Source organism: Homo sapiens, chromosome 6 (assembly GCF_000001405.40).
Source record: "Homo sapiens chromosome 6, GRCh38.p14 Primary Assembly".
Taxonomy (NCBI): domain Eukaryota; kingdom Metazoa; phylum Chordata; class Mammalia; order Primates; family Hominidae; genus Homo; species Homo sapiens.
In genome coordinates this window covers 88,672,887-88,685,371 of record NC_000006.12, presented here as the reverse complement: position 1 = coordinate 88,685,371, position 12,485 = coordinate 88,672,887, and the positions used below count along the sequence as shown (strand labels likewise).

Here is a 12,485-nt window from a genome sequence, read left to right as displayed (position 1 = left end):
ATACAGTTTCCCTTATCATGTTGCACTAGTGTGGTACATTTGTTACAATTGATGGACAAATTGGTTATATTACTAACTAAAGTCCATAGTTTCCATTGGGTTTAGCTGTGTTTTATAGTGCTATGGATTTAGACAGATTCATGATGTACAGATGATATCAACCATTACAGTATTATACAGACTAGTTTTCTGCTCTGAAAATTTCCTGTGCAACATCCATTTGTTCCTTTTTTCCTCCCCCTGATCTCCTGGCAATCACTGATCTTGCCGCTATAGTTTTGCCTCTTCCGAATGTCATATAGCTAGAATCATATAGTATGTAGTCTTTTTAGATAGGCTTCATTCACTTAGTGATATTCATTTAGATTTCTTCCGTGTCTTTCTGTAGCTTCATAGGTCATTTCTTTCTTTAAATAGACTTGATCTTTTAGAGCAGTTTTAGGTTCATAGCAAAAGTTGAGCAGAAAGTACAGACAGTTCTCATATGCTACCTGCCCCACACATGCATGGCCCTCCCCCACTATCAGTACTCTGCATCAGAGTGCTACATTTATTAGAGTTGATGAACCTATGTTGACATGTAATTATCACTAAAGTCTGTAGTTTGCATTAAGGTTTACTCTTGGTGGTGTTTTGACAAATGTATAATGACATATATCTAGCATTATAGTATACAGAATGGTTTCACTGCCTTAAAAAAATCCTTTTGCCTTTCTCAGAATATCATATAGTTGGATCATACAATGTTTAGGCTTTTAAGATTGACTTCTTATACTGTTACTTTCCTCTGTGTCTTTTCGTGGCTTGATAGCTCATTTATTTTTGGCATTGAATAATATTGCATTGCCTGTGTGTACCATCATTTATTTTCACCTATTCAAGGACATCTTGGTTGCTTCCAAGTTTTGGCAATAATGAATAAAGCCGCTATAAACACCCATGTGCAGGTTTTTTGTATGGACATACATTTTCTATTTATTTGAGTAAATACCAAGGAAGATGATTATTGGGTCATGTGGTAAGGGTATATTCAGTTTTGTAAGAAACCACTAAACTGTCTTCCAAAGGGGCTATGCTATTTTGCATTCCCACCAGCAATGCTCGCGAGTTCCTGTTGCTCCACATCCTTGCCGGCATTGGTGGTGTCAGTGTTCTGGATTTTGGCCATTCTCATAGGTGTGTTGTAGTATCTTAGTGTTACTTCAGTTTGTATTTCCCTAATGACATATGAGACTTGAGCATCTTTTCATATAACCACTTGCTATCTGCATATCTTCTTTTGTGAGGTTTCTGTTCCAGTCTTTTGCTCATTTTTAAATCAGATTATTATTTTTTTCTTTTTCTAAATTTTTGTTTTTAGAGACGGGTTTTTGCTGTCACTCAGGCTGGAGTACAGTGGTGCATTCATGACTCACTGTAACCTTTAACTCATGGACTCATGAGATCCTCCTGCATCAGCTTCCTGAGTAGCTGGGACTACAGACACATGCCACCGTGCCCAGCTACTTTTTATACTTTTTGTAGAGACGAAGTCTTGCTATGTTGCCCAGGCTGGTCTGGAACTCTTGGCCTCAAGTGATCCTCCAACCTTGTCCTCTCAGAGTGCTGGGATTACAGGCATGAGCCACCATGCCAAGCAAACTTGTTTATTTTCTTACTGTTAAGTTTTAATAGTTTGTTGAATATTTTGGATGAAACTTATTTTTCACATGTCTTTTGAAAATATTTTTTTCCCAGTCTGTGGCTTGTTTTCTTATTCTCTGAATCCACATTGCATTTTGTGTCCATGTCAAAGTTATGCTAACTTTATAAAATTAATTGGGAAATATTCTTTTCTATTTTCTGGAAAAATTTGTGTGTAATTAGAATTAATTTTGGTAGAATTTGCTGGTGAATTTGCTAGACCTTTTGCTTGCTTTGTGGAGTAATTTAAAATTGTTTATGGGAGACATCTAAGATTTTCTATTTTTTTCTTGTGTCAGTTTTAGTGCATTATATTTTTCTAGGAGTGTCTCTATTCTGACTTTTGAAACTTGTTGGGATAAAAGTATTTATAATATCCTCTTATTATTTATTACTACATTTAGGCTGTTTTCTTTTTTCTTTGTCCTACTGATTATTTGTGTGTTTTCTTTGTCAGCCTCATTCAGAATCAATTCAATTATTGTCTTAGAAGGAATAGTTTTTAGTGTTTTTGATACTCTCCAGTGTGTTTTCCGTTTCATGAATTTCTGCTAATTGTTATCTCTTTGCTTCTATTTTTGTTGGGTTTCAGTTACTGTCATTTTTCTAATTTCTTGAGGTGGATACTTAACTCATCAATTTCTATAAAGCATTTCTTCTTTTTCATATATATATTTTGGATTGTAAATTTCTTTATAACTTGGATTTAACTGCAACCTACAAGTTTTGATATATTGTTATTTTGCTATTTGGTTGAAGACATTTCATAATTTCAATTATGATTTTACCTCTGATCTATGGGTTATTTATAAGTACACTTCTGTCTTTACAGACATGGAGATTTTTCTGGTTACTTATATGTTATTGATTTCTAGCTGAGTTATGTTCTGAGGCTATGATCTGCATTATTTTATTTGTTCAAAATTTGCTTTATGTGGGAGGAAGGAGAGGATCAGGAAGAGTAGCTAGTGGATGCTGGGCTTAATACCTGGGTGATGGGATGATCTTTGCAGCACACCATCATGGCACATGTGTACTGATGTAACAAACTTGCACATTCTGCACACGTACCCCGGAACTTAAAATAAAAGTTGGAAATTTTAAAAAAAGGAAAAAAAATGTGCTTTATGGAATACACTTTTTAAATTTACATCCCACTAGAAGATTCAAAGAGTAATGTAGACCTTATCAATGATATGCATTTTCTTAAGTTGAAGATGGCACTACTGATCCTATATTCAGTGTATTTGCTTTCTATTTGTTTGGTTGTTTGTTTTCTAATAGTAGATGTATTGGATGTAGTCTGGTCTTTGGATAACTTCCTAAGCAGTGGAATTTTATGTAAGTCAGTATTCAAGGTGCTATAAGTTGTTTCAAGGTATTTTGTTGCAATTTAAAAATATATCTGATAACGGGTACTATAGTTATGGCTTGTAGATAGAACAGTTAATTTTGAGTTATTTAGCTTATTTTTAGAAAGAATCCCTTGCTCCTTTTAAACTTTTAATTTGAAATAATTACAGACTCAATTTACTTTTAAAGCAGTTTTTCTGTGTTTGATGTATCATCAATATTGGGTGAGTGAAGTTCTTTTAAATGTTTATTCTATTACCTGACAAGTTCTACTTTCTTTTATGAGAAACTTTTCTGGAAACAATTTTGGGGCTTTCTTTTCAGAATACATATTGGTTAATGTTTGTGTTTGGAAAATTGAAAGCAAAATGGATATTAGTCTTGCCTATTAACTTCTAAAGCTGTGATAAATTGTTTTTGTCCAACAATGCCTCCTTATTGCTACTTTCCAAAACATCCTCTTTGGTAGCCACAGTATAGAAGTATTTAGTTGCAAGCAAATATCTTACAGTTGTTAGCATTTGTATAAAGGTTATGGTAATGTTCGCCTAACTTAAGGGCAAAACAATTACCTGGTACCAAGTGAGTCAGGGTTTCTATTTTAAAATATACATATAAATGTGTTTATTAGTGCTGAATTAATGCTTTACTCTGGGAATTTAAAATGTGTGATTGCTATATTGTATATAAGCACCGTGCATGATGAAGTGTTACATATTACTTGACTATAATTACATATACAATTTGTTAAAATAATTTTTGAAAGTTAAAAGTATTTAAAGAAATCCATTTTAAAAGTGAGAATTTGTGTTCTCAAAGTATTATCTTATGCATAGCAGGCCTTTAAATTATGACACATGTTAAAATCCACTCAAACAAAGGTGGTAATATAATATATGGTAAGGGATAATGAATAAGAAAGAAGTATATGAATAAGAAAGAACAGTGTTTTTTAAAAGTGAAATATACATACATACATATATATGTGCCAACTGATATATTTAAGAAATTTCTTATTTAGGGAAAGGTAGTTATTAGGCAAGTTGGAGGGAGGGACACACTAAATAGTATATTGGCAAACTTCCTGAAATGCATATGCATAGTAATTTAGAGGCATATTGATTTTTAAATATCAGGCAGCTTTTATTCTTTTCCTTTTCTAGCATCTATTTGTATGAACAGTGACTGTTCCTGCTGCTAAAGGAGGTTTTATCAAGCTTTCTGTGAACATTTGTTATATAGGAAATAAATTAAACTACTGCTATATATAACTAACATTCAATTTATGATACCAGCAATGATTTGGGAGCGATTTAAAGTTTTGTTGGTTAATTTCTTATTTGTCAAATGATGGGCCAAGAAATTCTCCATTTCTTAGATTAGGGGACATTTCCTATTTGAATCTACTAAACAAATGCCTTTAGTCGTGTTTGTAACCATCAACAGTATGTTTCAAATTATGATGTCATCACTTACATTCCAAATGTAAGAAAAACTTTTTGCTAAGTTGGCTTAATTCAGAATTGTATTTAGCAGCTATTAATATTCTCTTAGTGACCCTTTAATACTTTGTAGGCTTTTTTTTTTTTTTTTGAGATAGAGTTTTGCTCTTCTTGCCCGGGCTGGAGTGCAATGGCGTGATCTCGGCTCACTGCAACCTCTGCCTCCTGAGTTCAAGCGATTCTTCTGCCTAAGCCTCCTGAGTAGCTGGGATTACAAGCATGCGCCACCACGCCTGGCTAATTTTTGTATTTTTAGTAGAGACGGGGTTTCTCCATGTTGGTCAGGCTGGTCTCAAACTCCTGACCTCAGGTGATCCCCCCTCCTCGGCTTCCCAAAGTGCTGGGATTACAGGTGTGAGCCACCACGCCTGGCCTGTAGGCTCTTATAGAACGTAGGGGACAGGGGATATTCCCAGGAGACTAAATATCTACCTTATTTCATAGAATCTAAGTTGCTTTGAGACTGCTTTCGTGGTCTTAGTAGACCATGTCAATGAAGGGTAATCACACAACTACCTCACAACAATCACCTGGTTATTATTATTATACCACCTAGCATCACAGACATTTCAATTTCAGAGAAGTTAAATTATGAATAAATGTATATCCTGGAATTGTTGAAGTAGGGTTTTGAAATCACTAACAGAATTTAAAAGAGATGGTTACGATAATCTTGTGTTCTAATTTTCTATGATTATATCAGTATGGCATGCCGAGAACTTTTTGATTGTTTTGAGTTTGCAGTTGTTGTTTAGTTTTTTGTTTTGACTCTAGATACCACACAGTGTTCCATTCTCAGATTCATGCAATGGAATTTATAGTCATCCTAGAGATCATTAGAATTCTATTATGTTAAAAGGCCATTAACTTTTAATGTTGAGACTCTGAGAAGTGACGTTGCATAGTTCCTCTGGGCAAGGAATATGGGCAGTTTTTTTCTTCTTCTTTATGTGTAATCGTGTTCAGACTGGAGTTGTATCCATTTATTCACAATGTCCATTATGAAAAGATTTGTGATAAAAGAAAGATGAGATATATCTACATTTAGGTCAGTTAAACACAAGAATATTTAATTATGTCCTTCCTATACCCTGTACCACTACCAGTTCCTTACATACTCCACAAGCACAGTTATAATGATAGTATTTCTTCATTCTCAATGTTTCATTGCATTTAAGAGAGATGGGCATATTAGAACTGTGGGAATAAGAAGGAAGGGATAATGCAGAGACCATAACCATTACCATTTTTTTATATTAGACCTCTATTTGGTTTGATTTTTATTTTCATGTTTATTGTTTTATAAGAAATAAGTACATCTTTTAATATGACTCCATATTGCGTGCAAAATAAAATATATGCCATTTGAAATTCTTCATGGTTAATTTGAAACTTCGAGTTCTCATCTCCAACTAAATTATTTCTTACTCTGTCCATACTTGTGCCCTCTTTATCTCAAATCTTTTTCTCAGGACATTGTGTAAGTTTCTCCCTTTGTGTACCCACTCTTTGAGTGAGGCTAATCCCAAATCCCATCTATTCAAACTTTTCCAGATCCCTTCATAGCAAATACCTTTATTCCGCTACTTTCCAATGGTGAGTTTCTCTGTTATACCCCTTATTGGAGGGTACCTTTTGTTAAGGTTATAGGTATTTGTCAGGTTTTCCTGTTAGATTTTGGTACGATATATTTAGGTTTATATTATCTCCTGTACAGTGCATAGTGGTGGTGCATCATCATACAGGTCTTCATCCTTGTTATCTTCACGTTGACTAGGCTGAGAAGGAGGAGGAAGAGGGGTTAGTCTTGCTGTCTCCGTGGTGGCAGAGGCAGAAGAGGTGGAAGAGGTGGAAGGGGAGGCAGGAGAGGCAGGCACACTCAGTGTAACTTTTATTGAAAAACGATCCCTGTATAAGTGGACTCATGCTGTTCAAACTTGTGTTATTCAAGGGCCCTCTGTAATTTTGTTAGAATTACTAATATATTAGAGTGTTCTACATTTTTCATTCTCAACATTTTACTGATCATTATTATTATTTGAGATGGGGTCTCGTTATATTGCCCAGACTAAAGGGAGTGGCTATTCACAGGTGCAGTCATAGCACACTACAACCTTGGACTCCTGGAGTCAAGCAATCCTCCTGCTTCAGTCTGTCGAGGTACTAGGACTATAGGCACACACAACCACACTTGGCTCCCATTATTTTCTGAAATATAAAATTATTTATTTTCTGGTTACTATCTCATAGTGTGAAAGATAAGAATAATTACACAGTTATTACTTTTCTCACAGCATCCATCTAATATATTTTATAGTATATCTATATTATATCTATTATTCAAATTTTGATAATTATACAACCTTATTTATAAGAAGGAGTATTTTATAAATAATGCTTTTTTTTCTTTGTAGGTTACTTCCTCAGAATGTTGGCCTCCTGTATGTTGGAGGTTATGAAAGACCCTTTGCACAAATCAAGGTATGTTTGTTCATTTTCAGTGTACTTTTCCTGGATGTTCTCTTATCTAGAATCCATCAAAACCTTGCTAATAATAATCAACATATAAAAATATCGTGTTCCAGCACTTTGGGAGGCTAAGACAGGTGGATCACTTGAGCCCAGGAGGTTGAGACCATGCTGGGAACCCTGTCTCTACAAAAAGAAAAATTTTTTGTCATTAGCCAAGTTCAGTGGCATGTGCCTATAGTCCCAGCTACTCTGGAGGCTGAGGTGGGAAGATCACTTAAGCCCCATGAGTTTGAGGCTGCAGTGAGCCGTGATCACACCACTGTACTCCAGCCTGGGTGACAGAGTGAGACCCTGTCTCAAAAAAAAAAAAAAAAAAAAAAAAGTGAATGTGAGGTGATAATTTCATAAGCTTTTGCATATTTCTGCTGAAGAAATCTTTCAGCTTTTCAAAGGAATTGATTATTTTAATATTCTTGCCATAGTAAAATTGACTTTGACCGAAACAGTTCAGTGATTCATTTAGAAGAGTACATTTAGAGATTAATCTTTGAGATCATCCCTTTTGCCATTAAAAAAATGTTTACAAGTCGGGTACGGTGGCTCATGCCTGCACTACCAGTGCTTTTTGAGGCCGAGGTGGGAGGGTCAGGGCTGGAAGATTGCTTGGGCCCAGAAGTTCGAGACTAGCCTGGGCAACATAGTGAAACCTCATCTCTACAAAATAGTAAAAAAAAAAATTTCGCTGGCCATGGCAGTTGTCCCAGGTTTTTGGAAGGCTGAGGCAAGAGGATCGCCTGAACCTGGGAGGTCAAGGTTGCAGTGAGCCATGATCACACCACTGCATTCCAGCCTGGGTGACAGAGTGAGACTCTGCCTTGAAAAACAAAAATGTTTTTAACAGCTTTTTTGAGATCTAATTGAAGAACAATAAACTGTACAATTTGATAAATTATGACATGCTTGTAGTTGTGAAACCATCACTGCAATCAAGATAATTAACATTCATCACTTCAGAAAGTTTCCTTGTGCCCCTTTGAAATTTCCCCCTCCTGCCCTTCCTTTTTTTTTTTTTTTTTCCTGGTCTCCAGGCAACCAGTAATCTGATTTTTGTTATTATAGATTAATTTGCATTTTCTAGAGCTTTATATAAGTGAAATCATATAGTGTATATTCACTTGTTCTGTTTTTTGCCTTCGTTCACTCAGCATAATTATTTTGAGATTCATCCACATTATTGCACTTATCGCTAGTTTATTATTTTTTGTTGCCAAGTATCAGGTTGGTGTAAAAGTAATTGTGTTTTTTTGCCATTAGTAGTATGGCTATAGCACTGTTTGATTATCCTTTCACCTGCTGATGGGCATTTGCGTTGTTTCTAGCTTGGGGCTATTACAAATAAAGCTGCTGTGAGCATTTGTGTACGAGTTTTGCATAGACTTATGCTTTCCTTTCTCTTGGGTAAATATCTAGGAGGGGAATGGCTGGGTCATGTGGTAGTTGTATTACATTTCCGTAATGACTGAGATTCTTCGTGTACTTTTTTTCCATCTGAATCTAGTGAAATGGATGTTCATATCTTCTCTAGTGAAGTATTTCTTCAAATCTTGTTATTTTAAAATTGGGTTTTTTGTTTTCTTACTGAGTTTTGAACATTTTTTATATCTTCTGGATATAAGTCCTTTATCAGATTTGTGATTTGCAGTTATTTTCTCCCAGCTATCGTTGTCTTTTCATCTCTTAACAGTGTCCTCAAAGAGCAGTTCTTAGTATTGATGAAGTTCAGTTGATTTTTCTTTCATGGCTCATGCTTTTGTTGTTGTATCTAAGAAATATTTTCCTAACCCAAAGTCACAAAGATTTTTCTCGTATGTATTCTGCTAGAAGTTTTATACTTTTAAGTTATACATTTAGGTTTATTGTCCATTTGAGGTAATTTTTATAGAAGAGTCAAGTATGGATTGATGTTCTTTTTTTTTGTCATCTTTTTTTTCCAGAATGTTACTCTCAAACATATTTTTTTCCAAGACGTGGATATATAGATGTTCCAAAAAGCACTTTCGAAAAGAATAAAGACCTTACAGCTTTGTTGAAAATCAGTTTATCCATATATGTGTGAATCTATTTCTGGACTCTTCCATTCCATTGACCTATGTGTTTATTCCTCTACCAATAACCACACTATATTGATTACTGTAGCTTTATAACAAATCATGAAGTCAAGTAGTATAAATCCTCCAACTTTGTTCTTTTTCTATGTTGTTTGGCTAATCTAGGTTCCTTTCATTTCCATATGAATTTTTATAATCATCTTGTCAGTTTCTATAAAAATGCCTGTTCGGATTGTGATTGGGATTGTGTTGAATGTATAGATCAGTTTGCAGAGAACTGAAATTTTAGCAATATCGAATATTCCAATTCATTAAGGCCACATTGCTCTCTAGTTATTTAGGTCTCCCAGCAATATTTCGTTGCTTTCAGTATATTGGTCTTAGACATTTTCCAAGCAAATTTATCTATTTTGTATTTTTTATGCTATTATAAAAGTTTTCTTTTAAATTTTTTTTTACTCACCCTGACACTTGGGCAGGATTTAATTTTAATTTCTGATTGTTTAATGGTAGTTGCTAGTCTGTAAAAAGCTGATTGTTTTTTTTTTCTTTTCATGTATTGGCTTTAAACTCTATGATCTTATACTCGATTATTAGTTCAGTAGCTTTTATGTAGATTTCATAGGATTATCTACATAAATGATTGTTCTCTACTAATAAGGACAGTTCTCCTTTCTGATCTTGATGCCTTTTATTGCTTTTCCTTTTTTAAAATTTTCTTTTTTATACAGACAGGGTCTTGCTCTGTTGGCCAGGTTGGTCTTGAACTCCTGGCCTCAAGCAATCCTCCCGCCTTGGCCTCCCAAAGTAGTAGGATTACAGGCATGAGCCACCACCCCTGGCCTGCTTTTTCTTTATTGCACTGACTAAATCCTACAATACAGAGTTGAGTAGAAATGGCAAGAACAGACATACTTGTCTTGCTTCTTATCTTAGTGGGAAAGCATTATTTAATCTTTTATCAAAAATTGTTTTTATAGTAATATTAGTTGAGGGTTGGTTAATTGATTCCATTAAGCTTTGTTATAAGAAATGAAAAAATATTAGCATTCAAGGCAATTTATAAAAAGGAAAGAGTTGAGACACTCAGTTTTTTTTTGTAACTTTCTGTTAATGTTTTCTGAGAAACCTATAATTTTTTTTTTTTTTTTCTTCTGAGACGGAGTCTCACTCTGTCACCCAGGCTGGAGTGCAGTGGCACAATCTCGGCTCACTGCAACCTCTGCCTCCCGAGTTCAAGTGATTCTCCTGCCTCAGCCTCCCGAGTAGCTGAGATTACAGGCTCGCACCACCACGCCTGGCTAATTTTTTGTATTTTTAGTAGAGCTGTGGTTTCGCCATGTTGGCCAGACTGGTCTTGAACTCCTGACCTCAGGCAGTCCGCCCACTTCAGCCTCCCACAGTACTGGGATTACAGGCATGAGCCACTGCACCTGGCCAGAAGCCAATACATTTGTTTTGTGATTTTTTTGTTGTTGTTACATAGTTTTCTGATTTTTTTTTTCACATTTGTTTCTTGGCTCCATGTGTTATTTTTCTTCTATCCGTTTGAGAGTTGTGAGTTAAAACTCCTTTCCACCTGCTTATATGACATATTTTTATGTTTTGAAAAATAAGGATTTTTCAGAGTAGACTAAGGCTAAATAGAATATGCAAGATACTTAATACTGAAGATGTTCAGTCATCATATCAACATCTTTTTTTTGAGACAGAGTCTCACTCTGTTACCCAGGCTGGAGTGCAGTGGCACAATCACAACTCACTGCAGCTTACTGCAGCGTTGGCCTCTCAGGCTCAGGTGATCCTCTCACCTGAGTCTCCCAGGTAGCTGGAACTACAGGTGCATGCTACATGCCTGGCTAATTTTTTGTGGAGATGGGGTTTCACCATGTTGTCCAGGCTGGTCTCAAACTCCTGGACTCAAATGATCCACCCATCTCAGCCTCCGAAAGTGCCGGGATTACAGGTGTGAGCCACCATGCCTGGCCACCACAATATCAACATTTTTAAATGAAAAATCTTATCTTAGTTACCATAGCATTAGCACCTCTTTAAATAACTCCATTAATTTAACCTAAATCTAAACGTTCTCTAAAGTTCATCATTAGGATCTTGAATTATGGAACCTCTTGACTTTTCTAGTTCCTTAAATAATGACAAGTATTCAAGTACATTTTTGTCTTCCATTTTTAATATCCCTGTAACATGAGGGGAATTGGCAAGATTCTCTTCATAAACCCCCCTCGCTATCCCATTCACCGAATTCATCAGTATAGCCAGGAATCCTAATAGGTTTCAGCAGGAACATTTCTGACAGCTCAATATTTTTCTGTCCAATGATTTGGAAAATCCTGTTTCTCTTTATTAGAGCTGAAGTAACTAAAAAGAGAGAAGCTTATCTGATATATTTCAGTAAGGAGAGAATTTTTTGTGTGCATGGTGTGAGTTACATGGTGTCTCAAAAGCACAGTCTCAGAGTTATGTGTATCAGAGTGGTAGTTGCCCTACCACTTACCTGATTTATTAACATAACATTTTCTTTATCTGCACATTTCCTAACAAGCTCGGTGACAAAAGTCAATCTTTTGTCAATCCTTTATGCCTGGATAATCAATCCTGTAGAAAAAAGTTCATGATTTTAGGGTGTCCTTTTCTTTTGATGTTGTTGTGGGAAAGGTTTCTTTCATTCACTGTTAAAAGATTCTTATCCTTATTAATTGTTGAAGTTCTTTCATAATTCCTATGGCTCCACCAAATTACATGCATATTAATTAGAATGTAAGTTAATGGGATAACAATTTTAAAATCATAGTTCAAATGTTTGACATTAGATTATAAAAGTAAGGTTCATTTCCTATGTTGGCTTGTACCTGACTTGTGAATATGAAATACCAGTATTTGTTATGTTCACTTTTTTCCCATTAAGCTAAATGTGATGATAATATGTTGTGTCATAAATATGAGATATAACCTTTTAAAAATGGAGACTGCTTTGCTTTTCTTAAGAACATATTGGTTGTTGATTTTTAAAATTAAATCAGGATATGAAATTGTTCACTTGATCATGGAGGAAAAGACATTCTCATTCATTAACATCACAGGACTTAAGTTCCTCAGTGTGGGTGGCTTGGTGTTGGAGGCAGTGTTTGCTAGAGATATTTTACAACTATATTTCTAAAAACGAGCTCCATTTTATAAAGGTCAGAAAGAGAAAAGAAAGAACACAAAAAGATAATAGATATTTGGCCACATGTTAAATGAATTCAGAAATTTGCTATAGCATGCCAATAAGTATCTGTACATCTGTACTGTTAGTATTAAATATATAAAATGGAGCATTACAATTATTCCTACAGCTGAACACACA

At 35.1% G+C, this 12,485-nt stretch overlaps 1 protein-coding gene across 5 annotated transcripts in view; it reads left to right on the top strand.

Moving 5' to 3' along the window:
- Positions 1-12,485, top strand: part of RNGTT (RNA guanylyltransferase and 5'-phosphatase) — a 353,722-nt gene that overhangs the window by 278,247 nt on the left and 62,990 nt on the right. For all 5 annotated transcript variants that reach the window (NM_001286428.2, NM_001286426.2, NM_003800.5 and 2 more), the window contains one exon: positions 6,953-7,019. In NM_001286428.2, coding sequence (NP_001273357.1) covers positions 6,953-7,019 — 67 coding nt within the window. The remainder of the gene's footprint in view (positions 1-6,952; positions 7,020-12,485) is intronic.